Source organism: Homo sapiens, chromosome 17 (assembly GCF_000001405.40).
Source record: "Homo sapiens chromosome 17, GRCh38.p14 Primary Assembly".
NCBI classification, from domain to species: domain Eukaryota; kingdom Metazoa; phylum Chordata; class Mammalia; order Primates; family Hominidae; genus Homo; species Homo sapiens.
Genome location: NC_000017.11, coordinates 16471275 through 16485625, shown reverse-complemented (window position 1 = coordinate 16485625; position 14351 = coordinate 16471275). Strand labels below are relative to the sequence as shown.

Sequence of the window (14351 nt, the reverse complement as noted above, 5' to 3'; positions counted from 1 at the left end):
TCCTGGCTCCTCCTGGCTGTTCTTGCCGACTGTCTTAGTCCTTTCCGGCTGCTATAACAAAATACCATAAACTGGGTGGCTTATAAACAGCAGATACTTATTTCTCACAGTCTGGAGTCTGGAAAGTCCAAGATGAAGGTGCTGGCAGATTCACTGTGTGGTGAGGCTGCTTTCTGGTGATGGTACCCTCTCGCTGCATTCTGGCATGGTGGAAGGAATGAAGGGTCTCTCTGGGGTCTCTTTTATATGGGCACCAATCCCATTCATGAGGGCTTTAGCCTTATGACTGAATCACCTCCCGTAGGCCCCACCTCCCGATACCATCACCTTGGGGGTTAGGATTTCAACATATACATTTGAGAATGGAGAGGAGGGGACGCAAACTTTCAGCACTGACTGTCATATCCTCTCCCATTAAGAGAAACTGGAATGGAGGTAGGAGAGGGCCCAGGCATCTAAAACAGCACATTTGGTTGCTGCGTCTTGGACTCACCATTACTAGAAGGGCTGGGTGTTCTGAATGAGAACAGAGACCTTGGCGCGCCAAGCAGGGGCGGGGACCCCCTCCTATGGTGCCTGCTCTCCTCCCTACCCCCACCCGGCCCTGAGCAGTGCCCACGTGGCTCTCCAGGAGCATTTCCCAGCTTTTTTTTTTTTTTTTTAACTTTTATTAGCTCAGACTCCTGGCTGCTGCAGCCATATGGAGCTCTGCCGACGGCTGCTGCTCAAAGAGATGTGGCATTTTGTTGTTTCTAACTTTATCTTAACCAGGAGAGACACAGGAGCACAGCTGAGAGTGGGGAGTGCCCTCGTATGTGAGTGTGTTGGGGCCACCTTCAGAGCTGCCCCTCGCTCCTGCTCGGCCCTCAGTGTCCGCGTGTCTTTCTGCCTCTCTGCCTCCCACTCCCTGCAGCTTTTCTTTGTGTCTCTGTTTCTTTCATTTTGTCTTCCCTGCTGTGTGTTTTTCCCTTCCCTGGGTGAGAAGCAGACTCTTGTTCCTCTGCCGGATCTTGGTCAGCTCCCCTCTCAGCCTCCCATCCTTTGCCAGCGGGAAGGTGGGGGAGTGGGGCCATGAGAACTGGAAGTGGTTGGTGGCGGTCAAGAAGGGTGCCCGGCTCGATTTGATTGTCTGAGTGTCAGCCGTGCCTTGGGCAGGAGAGCAGGCATTAGGGACACCTCCCCAATCTGCACATGGCTTTCTAGTCCATAAAGCCTTTTCTCATGTTTATTTTGCTGCTTAGGGGGTGGATTTTTTTTTGTTTTTTGTTTGTTTGTTTGTTTGTTTGTTTTTGAGACGGAGTCTCGCTCTGTCGCCAGGCTGGAGTGCAATGGCGCCATCTTGGCTTACTACAACCTCCACCTCCCAGGTTCAAGCAATTCTCCTGCCTCAGCCTCCTGAGTAGCTGGGATTATATGCGCACACCACCATGCCTGGCTAATTTTTGTATTTTTAGTAGAGACGGGGTTTCACTATGTTGGCCAGGATGGTCTCGATCTCTTGACTTCATGATCCGCCCACCTCAGCCTCCCAAAGTGCTGGGATTACAAGCGTGAGCCACTGTACCCGGCCTCATTAGGTGGTTTTGTGAAGTTGACACAATGTTGCTTAAAGTAAAAATGGTGGTTTTTAAAATATTATAAAAGCAATATACAATTATAGAAAAATGAGAAAATTAGATGAGCAGAAAATTAAAAAAGTAGTATGCATTAAATCATTTATTCAACAATCGAGTTCCTGTTCCTCCAGGCACCAGTCTAGGAACTGGGGATGCAACAGGCAACCCACCAGGAGAAAACCATGGCAGCAGCTGTTTCCCTTCCTCCGGGAGGGATGGCAAGGACCCCAGAAGCCACCACCAGTACAGGTGCGCAGCGTGGCACAGAAGGGAGGCTGGCTTCACTGGGAGCCAGGAGCCCTCAGTTCTGGCCCCAGTGGAAACCCTAACTTGCCCAGCCCTTTCCCTTCTTTGGCCTCAGTTTCCCCAGTTCCAGAATGAAGGAGTGGTGGGCGAAATGACCCCTGAGTTTCCCTACCACTGCTGAGATTCCACCAGGTGCCTGTGGTTTTGGAAAGACCCATTCATTCCCATGTGTGGTCAGTTATTTCTTCCAGGCCCTGAGCCAGATTCACATTCGAACCCTAAGGTCACCCACCTTGGCCTCAGCTGGTGCAAGAGCTGGGATGCAGCGGTCCCAGGACAGAGAGGGGACAGATACCTCCCCACCAGGTACTGGGGCCGACCCCCATACTGCCGAGGCCAACCTGTCTGTGCTGACCGCAGTCCTAGCTGACGGAGGGTGAAAGGCCACATCACATGGTGCCAGGGGCAGAGGCCAGAACCAGGGAACCTGCAGACTTTCACACATGAGCAAAGCCCAGCCCTCACAGAGGCCCGAGCTGCCCTGTGTGCCACAAACCATTCATCTCAGAGCACTGGGGAGGGTAATGAGGCTGGGGCAGGCTCTGCTGGGACCTGCTGTCCACATGACTCAGTGCCTGGCTCCCTTGCCACCTTTCTGCCTACTGTGGGGCTGCTCTGGCCCCTTGCACATCTGGTCTCTCTCCCCTCCCTCTACTTCCCACTCTGGCTTCCTTCTCTGAGGGGCTGCTCTCCATGCTCGTCTGGATGGAGCCTGTCCCCACTCCAGCCTCTGTCCTGTCCACAGAGACCCAGACCTGCCAGCCCCAGCCGAGCTTCAGGACCTTTGCCTTCAGAGGGCAAGAACCCTGCCTGGCACCTGACTGTGCACTAGTACTTGGTTCTTTCACTCAGCATACGTCCCTGGGCACCTAAGTGGAGCTGGCACCAGTTGGGACAAGTAGGGAAAGCAGGGCCGGCCAAGATGCTAATTTCTAGAAGGGCTCAGGGCAGTCGCTGATGCCATAGAGGACTGGCAAGTGACTGCAGGGCTGGCCATGGTCAGATTCCAGCTCTGCCCTTGTCTCTGGCCATGGGGGCCTACACAGGTGCAGGGCACGGCACACACTGGCTGCTGGGCAAACCCCTTTCCTCAGTGGGGCTCATGAGTGGACACAGGCGCTAGGCCCAGGACCTGTGGGAAGCCCCGTCTCCCCCACTTCCTAGGTGGGCTTGCCTGACCTGCTCTGCTGGTGCCTCCCAGCGGCCCTGGTCCTCAAGCCTGTCCCTCTCCTGCCCACTTGGCCTTCCCACGGCCCTCAGCCCAGGTCTCTCCCAGAGCATGCCAGGGACCTGTGGGAAGAGCCCCCAGCTATCTCGGAACCCCCTGCAGTGCCCCCTCCAGGCACATTCCCACCCCATAGCCGCTGTCCCCATGGAGCCTCCACCCACAGATACAGGTGCCAAGGAGGCTTGCAGGACACCCTCGTCCACTGAAGGACACCCAGCACCACAGGGAGCCAGCACTTGCAGCCTGGGAAGTCGGCAACCTGTGATGCCCCCCATCCCACCCCACTGCCCTTAGTTTCTGTCTATGCAGTCACAGCCTCCTGGAGCCCCAGGTTCAGGCCCTACCCAATAGAAAGGGGCAGGAGTGGGGCAGGTTTCTCTCCATTGGCACCGGGGGCAGGTAAGGGCCCAGGAGGTCCTGCCCCACACCAAGCGTAACAGTCAGAATTCCTGCCCTGGACCTAGACCGCCCAGTAGACACCGCGCACCTGGCAGTACCCCCAACACCCCTTTCCCCATGGGGACCTGGGGAGTCCTCTGCGTATGCGGACTATGGAAAGGGCTGTATTGTAGATGGTGGGGGAATCAGGGGAACAGGAGCTGCAGGTGCTCCTGGGGAGGCAGGGCTCTGTGGTGGGCTGGGCAGCTGGAAACAAAACCTCTGTTTCTGATTTCCTCATGGTAAATGGTCAGCCTGGAGCTGCCTGCCCCACTGTCTGGAGGGCCTGTAGCTCAGATGCAGGATGAGGACAAGCACAGACAGGGCTCGGGGAGGAGACATGTCTCCCCTCCTGTGCTGAATGCCAGGGCCATCTTGCCGACCCACAGACACCTTCTCCTGCCAGGCCATCATGGGGGAGGCAGGGGGTAGCCAGTGAATCCTCCTGCAGTGCACCTGCCGGGGCCCAGGTGTGGAAGATTGAAGCTCTGCATTCCTATGGAAGGGCCTACAGTGGACTCAGCATGACAGAGAGATGCTCCTGAAATTGGTTCATAATTTGCTGCTTAAGGCTCTTAATGTCTTCCCGTAGGGATGTTACTTCCTGTATTAGGGTTCTCCACAGAAACAGACTCAAAAGGAGATTTACATGTATAAACACCTACAGTTGACTATCACACTTCCTGTGAGCGGGCAGGAGAGAGCAGGGGCCACAGAGAGGGAAGCATGGAGGGGCTCTCATCTCACCTGGCACCAGGTAGGTGCTGGTACCTGGTGTAGTCCTGTGGCCTTGTAATAGGCTACCTGGCTGCCTTGCACATTGTGTTCTTACCGGCTCTCTCCTGGCAATGGTCCTGGCTCGCTGCCATCAGAGGACAGGCAGCGCTGAGGCTCTAATGTCCTTAGAAGGCCAAGGGGCCTGGATCTGCCTCTGCCCCTCTCCCTCACTGGAGGAAATGGCAGCAGGAGGGGTTCCACGGCTCCTTTGGTGAGAAGACCTGCTGCAGTCAGAGCTGAGATGTTTGACAGAGGCGCACACAGCCCAGAGACAAGGAGTGGCCTGTGCAGGGTCACACAGGACTGGGACCAGGTCCCCAATTCCCAAGACCCTGCCCAGCCCAGTGGTCCCTGGAGAAGTACTGGAAGTGATGCCTGGGTCTGTCCCAGTGAAAAACTTGGTGTTTTCTGAGCTTCCTCAGGTTGGGACAGGTGGCCTGACTTCCCTCGTCACAGGCAGGGTAGAAGAGGGGCTCTGGGGCACAGAGGACCTGTGCTGCCCCTTCCCTGTAGCAGGAGAAGGAGATGGGGAGGGACAGCCTCAGGAGAGGGGAAGAATGGGGAGCATAGTTACCTTGAGTGTATTCCCTGTCAGTGGTCTCCAGTTTTTTTTTTTTGTTTTTTTTTTTTTGAGACGAAGTCTCGCTCTTGTTGCCCAGGCTAGAGTGCAGTGGTGCAATCTCAGCTCACTGCAACCTCCACCTCCTGGGTTCAAGTGATTCTCCTGTCTCAGCCTCCCGAGTAGCTGGGATTACAGGCGCATGCCACCATGCCCGGCTAATTTTTGTATTTTAGTAGATATGGGGTTTCACCGTGTTGCTCAGGCTGGTCTCGAACTCCTGAGCTCAGGCATTCCGCCCACCTCGGCCTCCCAAAGTGCTAGGATTACAGGCATGAGCCACCGTGCCCGGGCAGCGGTCTCCAATCTTTTTGGCACCAGGGACCAGTTTCCTGGAAGACAGTTTTTCCATGGCCCGGGGTGGGGGATGGTTTTGAGATGATTTAAACACATTACACTTATTGTGTACTTTATTTCTGTTATTACCGCATTGTAATATAATGAAATAATTATACAACTCCCCATAATGTGGAATCAGTGAGGGCGCTGAGCTTCTTTTCCTGCAACTAGACGGTCCCATCTGGGGTGACAGGAGACAGGGAGAAATCATCAGGCATTAGATTCTCATAAGTGTGCAACCTAGATCCCTCACGTGTGCAGGTTACAATAGGGTTTGTGCTCCTATGAGAGCCTAATGCTGCCACTGATCTGACAGGAGGCGGAGCTCAGGTGGGAACACTGGCCCACTGTTCACGTCCTGCTGTGCAGCCTGCTTCCTAACAGGTCACAGACTGGTACTGGTCTGTGGCTTGGGGGTTTGGGACCCCTGCTCCAAATGACACTTTTTCAACAGTTTATTTCTTAAAGTAAGATGTTGAGATGGTGGTGGTCATGACAATGATGACCTAGTGTTGGAGGAAGCAGAGAGCAGGACCATGACCTGAAGAGGTGTTCCCAGCGAGGGGCAAGCTTCATGAGCTCGCTGCCTCCATGTTAGATTTTCGCTACAGCTCTGCTGCTGGCAGCCCAGGAAAACCAAGGACTTGGGGGTGTAGAGGCCATTCAGTGACTGAGTCAGGTCACTCAAGGATGCCTATCCCCTTGGTTTCCTTCACTGAGGTGGAATGTGGCTTCTAGCCCATAGAGTGCCTTTATGAGAAGTGGAAGAAGGTGCCTGTCTGGTTGGGCACAGCCAGAGTCAAGGCTTGGTGAGTTCAGCCCCGCTCAGACACCCTTGTGCAGTACATGCCCTGCACAGCTGTACTTGGCAGCCTTGGTGAGACCACACAGAAGTTTAGAGTATCAGCTGAGGCCTTTAATGAGCTTTAGCCCTTCTCCCATGCATCTTCTTGGGCACAGCCTTCTCAAATCACCTGAGGCAATGAACTGTGGAACACTGTGCCTCTCAGGCGGGTACTTGCCCTCTTTCTCTTGAATCGAGGAGCTGAAGCAATTGGGAATCTTCTAGAAAGTTCCAGCTACCAGTCCTGTATGACCCTGCACAGGCCACTCCTTGTCTCTGGCTCTCAAAGAGGATCAGACAGAATCTAAGACAACCTGAGTGGATCTGGACTCACCCAGTCAGGGGCACCGAGGGCACCAGCGGAGGCATCAGGGTTTCCTTGTTGGGCTTCCATGAGCCCCGGACCCTGCAGTATTGCAGGGGTCCAGGATTCCCCTCAAGCTTCCCAGACTGTTCATATCCTTGCCTCTAGCAGTTCTGGGGGAATGAGGTCTGAGTGCTCCCACCCCGGTAAGTAACTTCCACTTCTTCAGGCTTAGTCACTCCAGTCGATTTAGTTTTTCCTAGGACGTGCCAGTCCTCTGAACTTTTTATGATTCTCAGCTGCAGACTTATGTTTTCCACAGCCTTCTGGCATTGTGGCGTTTCGGAGTAAAAACAGTCTTAGGCAGGATTCTCACTGGTGGGGTTTCCAGACAGCTATTGGCCCAAGACAGACCAGCAGGAACTCAGAGGGGTTGGTTTGGGACATGGAAACTCAGACACGAAAGACAGTAAGTTACCTGTTCCAAGAATTCCCATCTCTCCAGAAAAGGTCCAGCAGGGCGAGGCGAATAGAAATGGCTTTGGTGTCGCATGTCTTAGGGAGAGGCCAGTCCATGAGCCAGGACCAGAAGAGGGCTCTCTGAAGGTAATGGGCACACGGAGCAGGGAGGGACTTTGGACTGGAATTAGACTCTTTTAGAAAATGGGAGGCCAGGCACAGCGGCTCACTCCTGTAATCCCAGCACTTTGGGAAGCTGAGGCAGGCAGATCACCTGTAGTCAGGAGTTCAAGTTCAGCCTGACCAACATAGTTAAATCCCATCTCTACTAAAAATACAAAAATTAGCTGAGCGTGGTAGTGTGTGCCTAATCCCAACTACTTGGGAGGCTGAGGCAGGAGAATCGCTTAAACTTGGGAGGCGAAGGTTGCAGTGAGCCGAGATGACGCCACTGCACTCCAACCTGGGTGACAAAGCAAGACTCCATCTCAAAAAAAAAAAAAAGAAAAAAAAAGAAGAAAATGGGCAAGAGGTGGAGTGTGGGCAGCTGGTTGGGGACCTGAGAGCAGGTATGCAGCAAAATGCTCTAAGTCTCTACCTGGGCCATGCTCTGAGGGAGGGAGTCCACCGAGAGAGACCCTCAGGGTGAGAGCAGGGACGCTGGATGGAGAGAGAGGCCTGAGATGCTGCAGGAAGCTCAGGGCCTTTGCCTGACCCATTGCATTGGCTGTCTTGCCTCACCCACCGCCACTCCCACCCACAGCTCCTACCTCCTCCCTCCCGGTGTCTCGAAGCTGTAGACAAACTCAGTGACCACTGAGAAACCAGGTATAGGCCCCTCCCAGCCCTGAGGACGCCACCCCCACCCCATGCCCTCTTCTGCAGCCCGGAAGCCTCGCTGATTTTCCACCTTTGCGGGGAGAATCAGGCCCTGAGAAGCAGGGCCCTAAGATGGGAACTATTCTGCCTGGCTGCAGGGGTCTGGCAGTCTGGCAGCCCCTTGGTGTTCCTCCTGGCTCCTGCTGGGAAGGCCCCTGGAAGGGCATCTGTGGCTCCCTTCCTGGGCCGGCTTCTGCCCTCCCCACTGCCCAGAGCACATTTTTGAAAGGTCTTGGGGAAAGTGGCCAAGCGTGGAGAGGTGGAAGAGCACAGGCAGGGCCTCATCCTGGCCACAGTTGTGGATCCTACGGCCCTCCTCCTCTATCCCGCCTGGTCTCCCCTTCCTGCCTGAAGTTGAAAGCTAGCTGGATTGGAGCTGGATTCCTCATCCAGCATGACTCATCTCTGCTCACCCAGAGGGAGGGCAGCAAGAGGTCTGAATCCAGATTCTTGGAGGTCTGGCCTTGGCCTTGGCCTTGCCTCTGACCTAGAGATTTAAAGTGGTGAAGACGCTTAGCTTGTGATGGTTAATTTTATGTGTCAGCCTAGCTAGGTTGTGGTGCCCAATTTTGGGTCAAACACTAGTCTAGATGCTGCTGTGAAGGTATTTTTCAGATGTGATTAACATCTGAGGCTAGGCATGGTGGCTTATGCCTGTAATCCCAGAACTTCGGGAAGCCCAGGCGGGTAGATCACTTGAGCTCAGGAGTTTGAGGCCAGCCTGCCCAACATGGTAAAACCCCCGGTCTCTACTAAAACTACAAAAATCAGCCAGGCATGGCCGGGCGCAGTGGCTCACGCCTGTAATCCCAGCACTTTGGGAGGCCAAGGCGGGCGGATCACAAGGTCAGGAGATTGAGACCATCCTGGCTAACACGGTGAAACCCCGTCTCTACTAAAAATACAAAAAATTAGCCAGGCGTGGTGGTGGGCGCCTGTGGTCCCAGCTACTTGGGAGGCTGAGGCAGGAGAATGGCGTGAACCCGGGAGGCGGAGCTTGCAGTGAGCCGAGATTGTGCTACTGCACTCCAGCCTGGGTGATAGAGCAAGACTCTGTCTCAAAAAAAAAAAAAAAAAAAAAAAATCAGCCAGGCATGGTGACGGGCACCTGTAATCTCAGCTACTCGAAAGACTGAGGTAGGAGAATTGCTTGAACTTGGGGAGGCAGAGGTTGCAGTGAGCCGAGGTCACGCCACTGCACTCCAGCCTGGGTGACAGAGTGAAATTCAGCCTCAAAAAAAAAAGAAATCTGAAATACCTACATGTGAAATCAGTAGACTTTGAGTAAAAACAAAAGCCAAATAAAGCCAGGTGCAGTGGCTCACTCCTGTAATCTCAGCCCTTTGGGAGGCCACAGCGGGAGGATTGCTTGATGCCAGGAGTTCAAGACCAGCCTAGGCAAACAAAGCAAGACTCCATTTCTACAAAAAAAAAAAAATTTTTTTTTTTGAGACAGAGTCTCACTCCATCACCCAGGCTGGAGTGCAGTGGTGCAACCTCAACTCACTGCAACCTCCACCTCCCGGGTTCAAGTGATTCTTCTGCCTCAGCCTCCCAAGTAGCTGGGATTACAGGCATGTGCCACCACACCCAGCTAATTTTTATTATTATTATTATTATTTTGAGATGGAGTCTTGCTCTTTGCCCAGGCTGGAGTGCAGTGGTGCAATCTCAGCTCACTGCAAGCTCCGCCTCCCGGATTCATGCCATTCTCCTGCCTCAGCCTCCCAAGTAGCTGGGACTATAGGCACCTGCCATCACACCCAGCTAATTTTTATTTTATTTTTTAGTAGAGATGGGGTTTCACCATGTTAGCCAGGATGGTCTAGATCTCCTGACCTCATGATCCACCCACCTCGGTCTCCCAAAGTGCTGGGATTACAGGCATGAGCCACCATGCCCGGCCAACACCCAGCTAATTTTTATATTTTTAGTAGAGAGGGAGTTTCACCATGTTGACCAGGCCGGTCTCAAACTCTGGACCTCAGGTGATCCGCCCACCTCAGCCTCCCAAAGTGCTGGGATTATAGTCGTGAATCACCGTGCTCAGCCCGTTTCTACAAAATTTTTTTTTTTAATTAGCTGGTGTGGTAGCACGTACCTGTAGTCTCAGCTATTCAGGGGGCTGAGGCAGGAGGATCAGCCTCCCAAATAGCGGGACTACAGGAGTACAGAAGTTCCAGGCTGCAGTGAGCTAGGATCACACCACCACACTGTAGCCTGGGTGACAGAGAGACTCTGTCTCAAAAGCATAAATGGATAAAAGCTGATTACTTTCCATAATATGGGTGAGCCTCATTCAATCAGTTGAAGGCTCCAAGAGAAAAGAGAGGTCCCTGAGGAAGAAGAAATTCTGCCTTCAGACTCCAGACAGCACTGCCAGCTCCTTCCTGGGTCCCCAGCTTCCCAGCCTGCCCTGCAGATTTCAGACTCGCCAGCCCCCACAATCATGTGAGCCAATTCCTTAAAATAAATCAATTCCTTCCTCTCTCTCCACACACACACACATCTTATCAGTTCTGTGTCTCGAGAGAACCCTGGCTAATACTTAACTTCCAAGGGCTCATAGAGGCAGAGTCAGAAATTTCTAGGGGCTCTGGAGCGCCCCATCCCTGCCACTAGCTCACTGTATGAGACAACCTTCCAGCCCCCAGCTTTTCACTCTGAGAAATGGGCTGTTCCTATGAAGACACTCCTGCTTGGAACTCAGGTTGTTAGGGAGCCAGAAGGATCCTCTAAGTCGTTCCTCTACCTCTTTGCCATTTTACCTGAAAATCCTTTGAGGATGAACCAAATGTTTCTCTCTTTTTTTTTTTTTTTTGAGACGGAGTCTTGCACCGTTGCCCAGGCTGGAGTGCAGCGGTGGCACAATCTTGGCTCACTGCAAGCTCCGCCTCCTGGGTTCACGCCATTCTCCTGCCTCAGCCTCCCGAGTAGCTGGGACTACAGGCGCCCACCACCACGCCCGGCTAATTTTTTGTACTTTCAATAGAGACGGGGTTTCACCATGTTAGCCAGGATGGTCTCATCTCCTGACCTCGTGATCCACCTGCCTCGGCCTCCCAAAGTGCTAGGATTACAGGCGTGAGCCACCGCGCCCGGCCTCAGGATGAACCAAATGTTTCATTTCACTTGGGCAGAATGTACTGCAGAGAGGGACAAATGGACTTGAATGCATTTGCCAGAAGGTATAAACAACCGATTCAGATAATTTCCCAAGCAGAGAGATTAGGAGGGCGCTGGGATGGGTGACAAAGTGCTGAGAATTTGTGGAATGTAGGGGCCTGTGGACCTCAGAGACCATCTGGCCCCAGGCATACTGCAGAATCTGAGTCCCACAAGAGGTCCTGGGGAAGCAGGGGAGGTGCTTGGGAAATAAATCTGGGAAATACTGCAAATGCCACCACCCTTTCGGAGTCATAAAACAGTAGCTGAAACGTCCAGCAGGAAAAGGAAAATGGTTATTTGTTGAATTCTTTGTGTTCCAAACCTATTTGGTCCAAGTCCCTCTTCTGCTGCCCTCTCCAACTCTGGAAGAATGAGCTGGTGCAACCTTCTCATTTGTAGGTGGGGAAGCTGTGGTGTAGGAGGGTGGCTTGCCCAGGGCCACACAGTGACTTAGGATCTAACCCACGTCTGTCCCCCACCGTCAGCCACGTGTGGGCAGAGCCATGACCATGGAGGAGCAGACAAAACCCTTCATATGGCTTGATGCGCCTCCCAACTTACTTTAGATTATTCTGAAGAGAAAGCATCCTTTTGATATTTATTTGTTGCTAAAGCCGTTTCTCGGATTTTAATTAAGTTACACTTGGCAACGGCTGGGCATCTGTTTCCAGAGGCCTGTTTCACACAGAGGGTGTCATTTTTTAAGACTTCAAAGTTAAAACACAAACAACACACAGTCATGAAGCCCCTCACTGAGCAAAGCTGCCAAACATCGCTGCCCAGCCCGCTGACTCCTGCTGGGCAAGGCAGACCTGGTGGCAACACTCGTCACCGTCGAGGAGGGCCAGCCTGCCGGGGTGCCTGGCTTCAAAAACCTGCAGGGGCCACGTGGCCTTGGACAGGTGGGAGAGTCATGAGCTGCCCCTGGACCCTCAGGTGGGACCAGAGAACCCCAGTCTTTACCTCTCATCCCTCAGACAGGCTGGGCAAGTCTGGTGGAGCGGGGAGTGGGTGCCAATGACCCCCCACCAGCAGTTTCTTGGCTCAGACCTCTGCAGAGCAGCCCTCCCTGGCAGCATCTGGCTGACTTCGGTCAGCTGGGTGCTAATGGACACCTCCTTGGGTACCAAACTCACAGGCCTGTGGGGGTGGCGGGCACCAAGCCAGGGTGCCCTCGAGAGGCAACCCCCAAGACTGGGACCAGGAGCCGGGCAATGCCCACCTTAGACATCAGCAGGACTGTGAGGAGGCCTCACCTTCAAACAGGGTTCCCATGCCGTCCAGTGGTTTTGTTAGGGGGAGGGGATGTAGCAGTTGCTTTTATTACTTTTGCTAGTCTGCTTTGCTTTGGTGTCTTCCAAGCCTGAGCAGTGTGCCTCGGGCTCTTAACTGCATAGTCCTCCCTGTCTAGCTGTGCTGATGCTCCCTGCCCTGGACTCTGCAGGGTGCCCACCTCATCTGCATTATCTGTCATTAGTTATTCTTGGGGCGCGCGCGCACACACACACACACACACACAGACTACTTACAACGACTTGAATTTTCTCAATATTCAATATATATTGAAGTGGAAATTTTTAAACCTAGTGTTTCCTGAAGCATTTAACATACCAATTTCATTATTCCCCTCACGAATCTAGTCCATTTAAATGTCGATGTTCAAGGGTAGGGGGTTTATAACTTAAGTAATTAAATTTCTTTAAATATCTTGATGTAACTTTATAAATTTAACATAACCAGTGTTCTTAAGTTTATAAATACTCATCCTAAAAAGCAGGACTTTCCTGGGTTCCTAAATAGTTCTTGAAATTTAATAAGCTGATAAATATGATGACTATTAGTTCTCTGAAACATTTCAAAACTTACAAACTTGGCTGAATCCACTTCCGGTGTTCTGCTTAAAATCATAAGCTTAAAATCAGCTACTCAATTACCCGTTTTAAATGGGGATTGGAAGGCCAATCTGTTAGATACTCTGATACGCCTAATTCTCCTTAACATGACAAATGTGTGAAATACCAGATTTCCGTATGCCCCAGCGCATTAGCACTCACTTTGCTCCAGGGCCACCCTGTGTAACTGTGGCACTTTTGGGGCCAAAAACGACAAGGGGGCTAAAGGCGCCTTGTTGCTGCACTGAGGAGCAATGCCCCTCTCTGGAGCAGTCAAGCCCACTGGTGCCACTTCTGCTTTTGCACCCCACGTACCCCTCCAGTGGGGGGGTCTCAGTCCCGGTCTTCAAACTGCATCACCAAACTCCTGCTCGCCTTCCGCCATCCACGCAGCTTTGTCACTGGCTTTTTGTTGCTTTTTTTTTCTGCGTTCTTTTGTGGTTCCTCTCGCCAGGCCCCACATCTTGTAGCTACTTAGTGGCACCTCCTTGGATGCCAGGATGCTGCATCCTGGGCCATGCTGATGAGAAGAGTCACAGGGGGCCAGAGGGCAACCCTTAGTGGCCACCTTCCTTGTGGTCCAGAAATCCTGCCTCAGCAGTGCCGGCTGATGAGTGTCTCTCCTCTGCTTGTATCCTTCCAGTGACAGTGAGCTCAGCACTATTTTTTTATTACGATAAAATATACAAATATAAAATACCGTTTTAACCATTTTAGGTGCACAGTTCAGTGGCATTAAGCACATTCATATTGCTGTGCAACCATTACCACCTTCCATCTCCAGAACTCTTTCATCTTCCTCAAACTGAAACCCTGTCCCCACCCAACACGAATTCCCCCTTCCCCAGTCCCAGCAACTGCCATTTTACCCTCTGTCTCTGTGAATTTGAGTACTTTGAATGATTAGATACTCTTGGTCCCTCACGTAAGTGGCCTCATGCGGTATTTGTCCTCTCGTTCCGAGCTTATTTCTCTTAGTGGAGTCTTCAAGCCTCATCCTTGTCGTGGACAGTGTCAGCATTTCCTTCATCACCTGTTTTTAAAGGTTCTTTCCCATGTTGAGCTGAGAACCACCTTGGGGATCCTATAGGAAGCATTTCTGACTAGTACAGCCCTGCCCCTGGGAGCAGACAGCAAAGGAGAGTGTACCCACAGAGGCTTCAGGGCTGGTGGAGACAGCAAGTTGATTTCTGGCAATAACGTCCTTGGTTGCCCACAGCTGTGCTCTTGGCTGAGGTCTGCAGCTGTGGAAGAAGGGAGGGGTCCCGGCCACTTGCCTTGATCTCTTCTCCCTTTTGCCTGGTGTGCCCCTGGGAAAAATGCCACCTCTGTCCTGATCCAATCTGGTGCATTCATTTCCTGGGGCTGCCGTAACCAATGACCACTGGCTGAGTGACTTGGACCAACCGAAACATATTCTCTCATGGTTTGGAGGCCAGAAGTCTGAGATGAGAGTGTCGGCAGGGCCGTGTCCATCCAGAG

General features: G+C 52.6%; 1 protein-coding gene across 6 annotated transcripts in view, besides 4 other annotated features; it reads left to right on the top strand.

Moving 5' to 3' along the window:
* The window catches only part of LRRC75A (leucine rich repeat containing 75A), a 50617-nt gene that overhangs the window by 6568 nt on the left and 29698 nt on the right, over positions 1 to 14351 (top strand). Inside the window, exons 1-2 of one of the 6 annotated variants that reach the window (XM_017024620.2) lie at positions 101 to 815; positions 1748 to 1865. The exons of 3 other annotated variants lie outside the window; for them this stretch is intronic. In XM_017024620.2, the coding sequence (XP_016880109.1) occupies positions 814 to 815; positions 1748 to 1865 (120 nt within the window). In that variant the 5' untranslated portion in view covers positions 101 to 813. Of the gene's footprint in view, positions 1 to 100; positions 816 to 1522; positions 1866 to 14351 lie in introns of those variants that run through there. 2 more of the 6 variants (XM_047435961.1, XM_017024619.2) reach the window with 2 other exon arrangements.
* Positions 572 to 1498: an enhancer, noted in NCBI's record as "H3K27ac-H3K4me1 hESC enhancer chr17:16387442-16388368 (GRCh37/hg19 assembly coordinates)". NCBI's record gives its function as "activates a minimal SCP1, AML or CMV promoter by ChIP-STARR-seq in naive H9 embryonic stem cells {active_cell/tissue: H9 hESC(naive)}" and the evidence as "EXISTENCE:reporter gene assay evidence [ECO:0000049][PMID:30033119]".
* Positions 1755 to 2571: an enhancer, noted in NCBI's record as "H3K27ac-H3K4me1 hESC enhancer chr17:16386369-16387185 (GRCh37/hg19 assembly coordinates)". NCBI's record gives its function as "activates a minimal SCP1, AML or CMV promoter by ChIP-STARR-seq in primed H9 embryonic stem cells {active_cell/tissue: H9 hESC(primed)}" and the evidence as "EXISTENCE:reporter gene assay evidence [ECO:0000049][PMID:30033119]".
* Positions 7331 to 8241: an enhancer, noted in NCBI's record as "H3K27ac-H3K4me1 hESC enhancer chr17:16380699-16381609 (GRCh37/hg19 assembly coordinates)". NCBI's record gives its function as "activates a minimal SCP1, AML or CMV promoter by ChIP-STARR-seq in primed H9 embryonic stem cells {active_cell/tissue: H9 hESC(primed)}" and the evidence as "EXISTENCE:reporter gene assay evidence [ECO:0000049][PMID:30033119]".
* Positions 8242 to 9153: an enhancer, noted in NCBI's record as "H3K27ac-H3K4me1 hESC enhancer chr17:16379787-16380698 (GRCh37/hg19 assembly coordinates)". NCBI's record gives its function as "activates a minimal SCP1, AML or CMV promoter by ChIP-STARR-seq in primed H9 embryonic stem cells {active_cell/tissue: H9 hESC(primed)}" and the evidence as "EXISTENCE:reporter gene assay evidence [ECO:0000049][PMID:30033119]".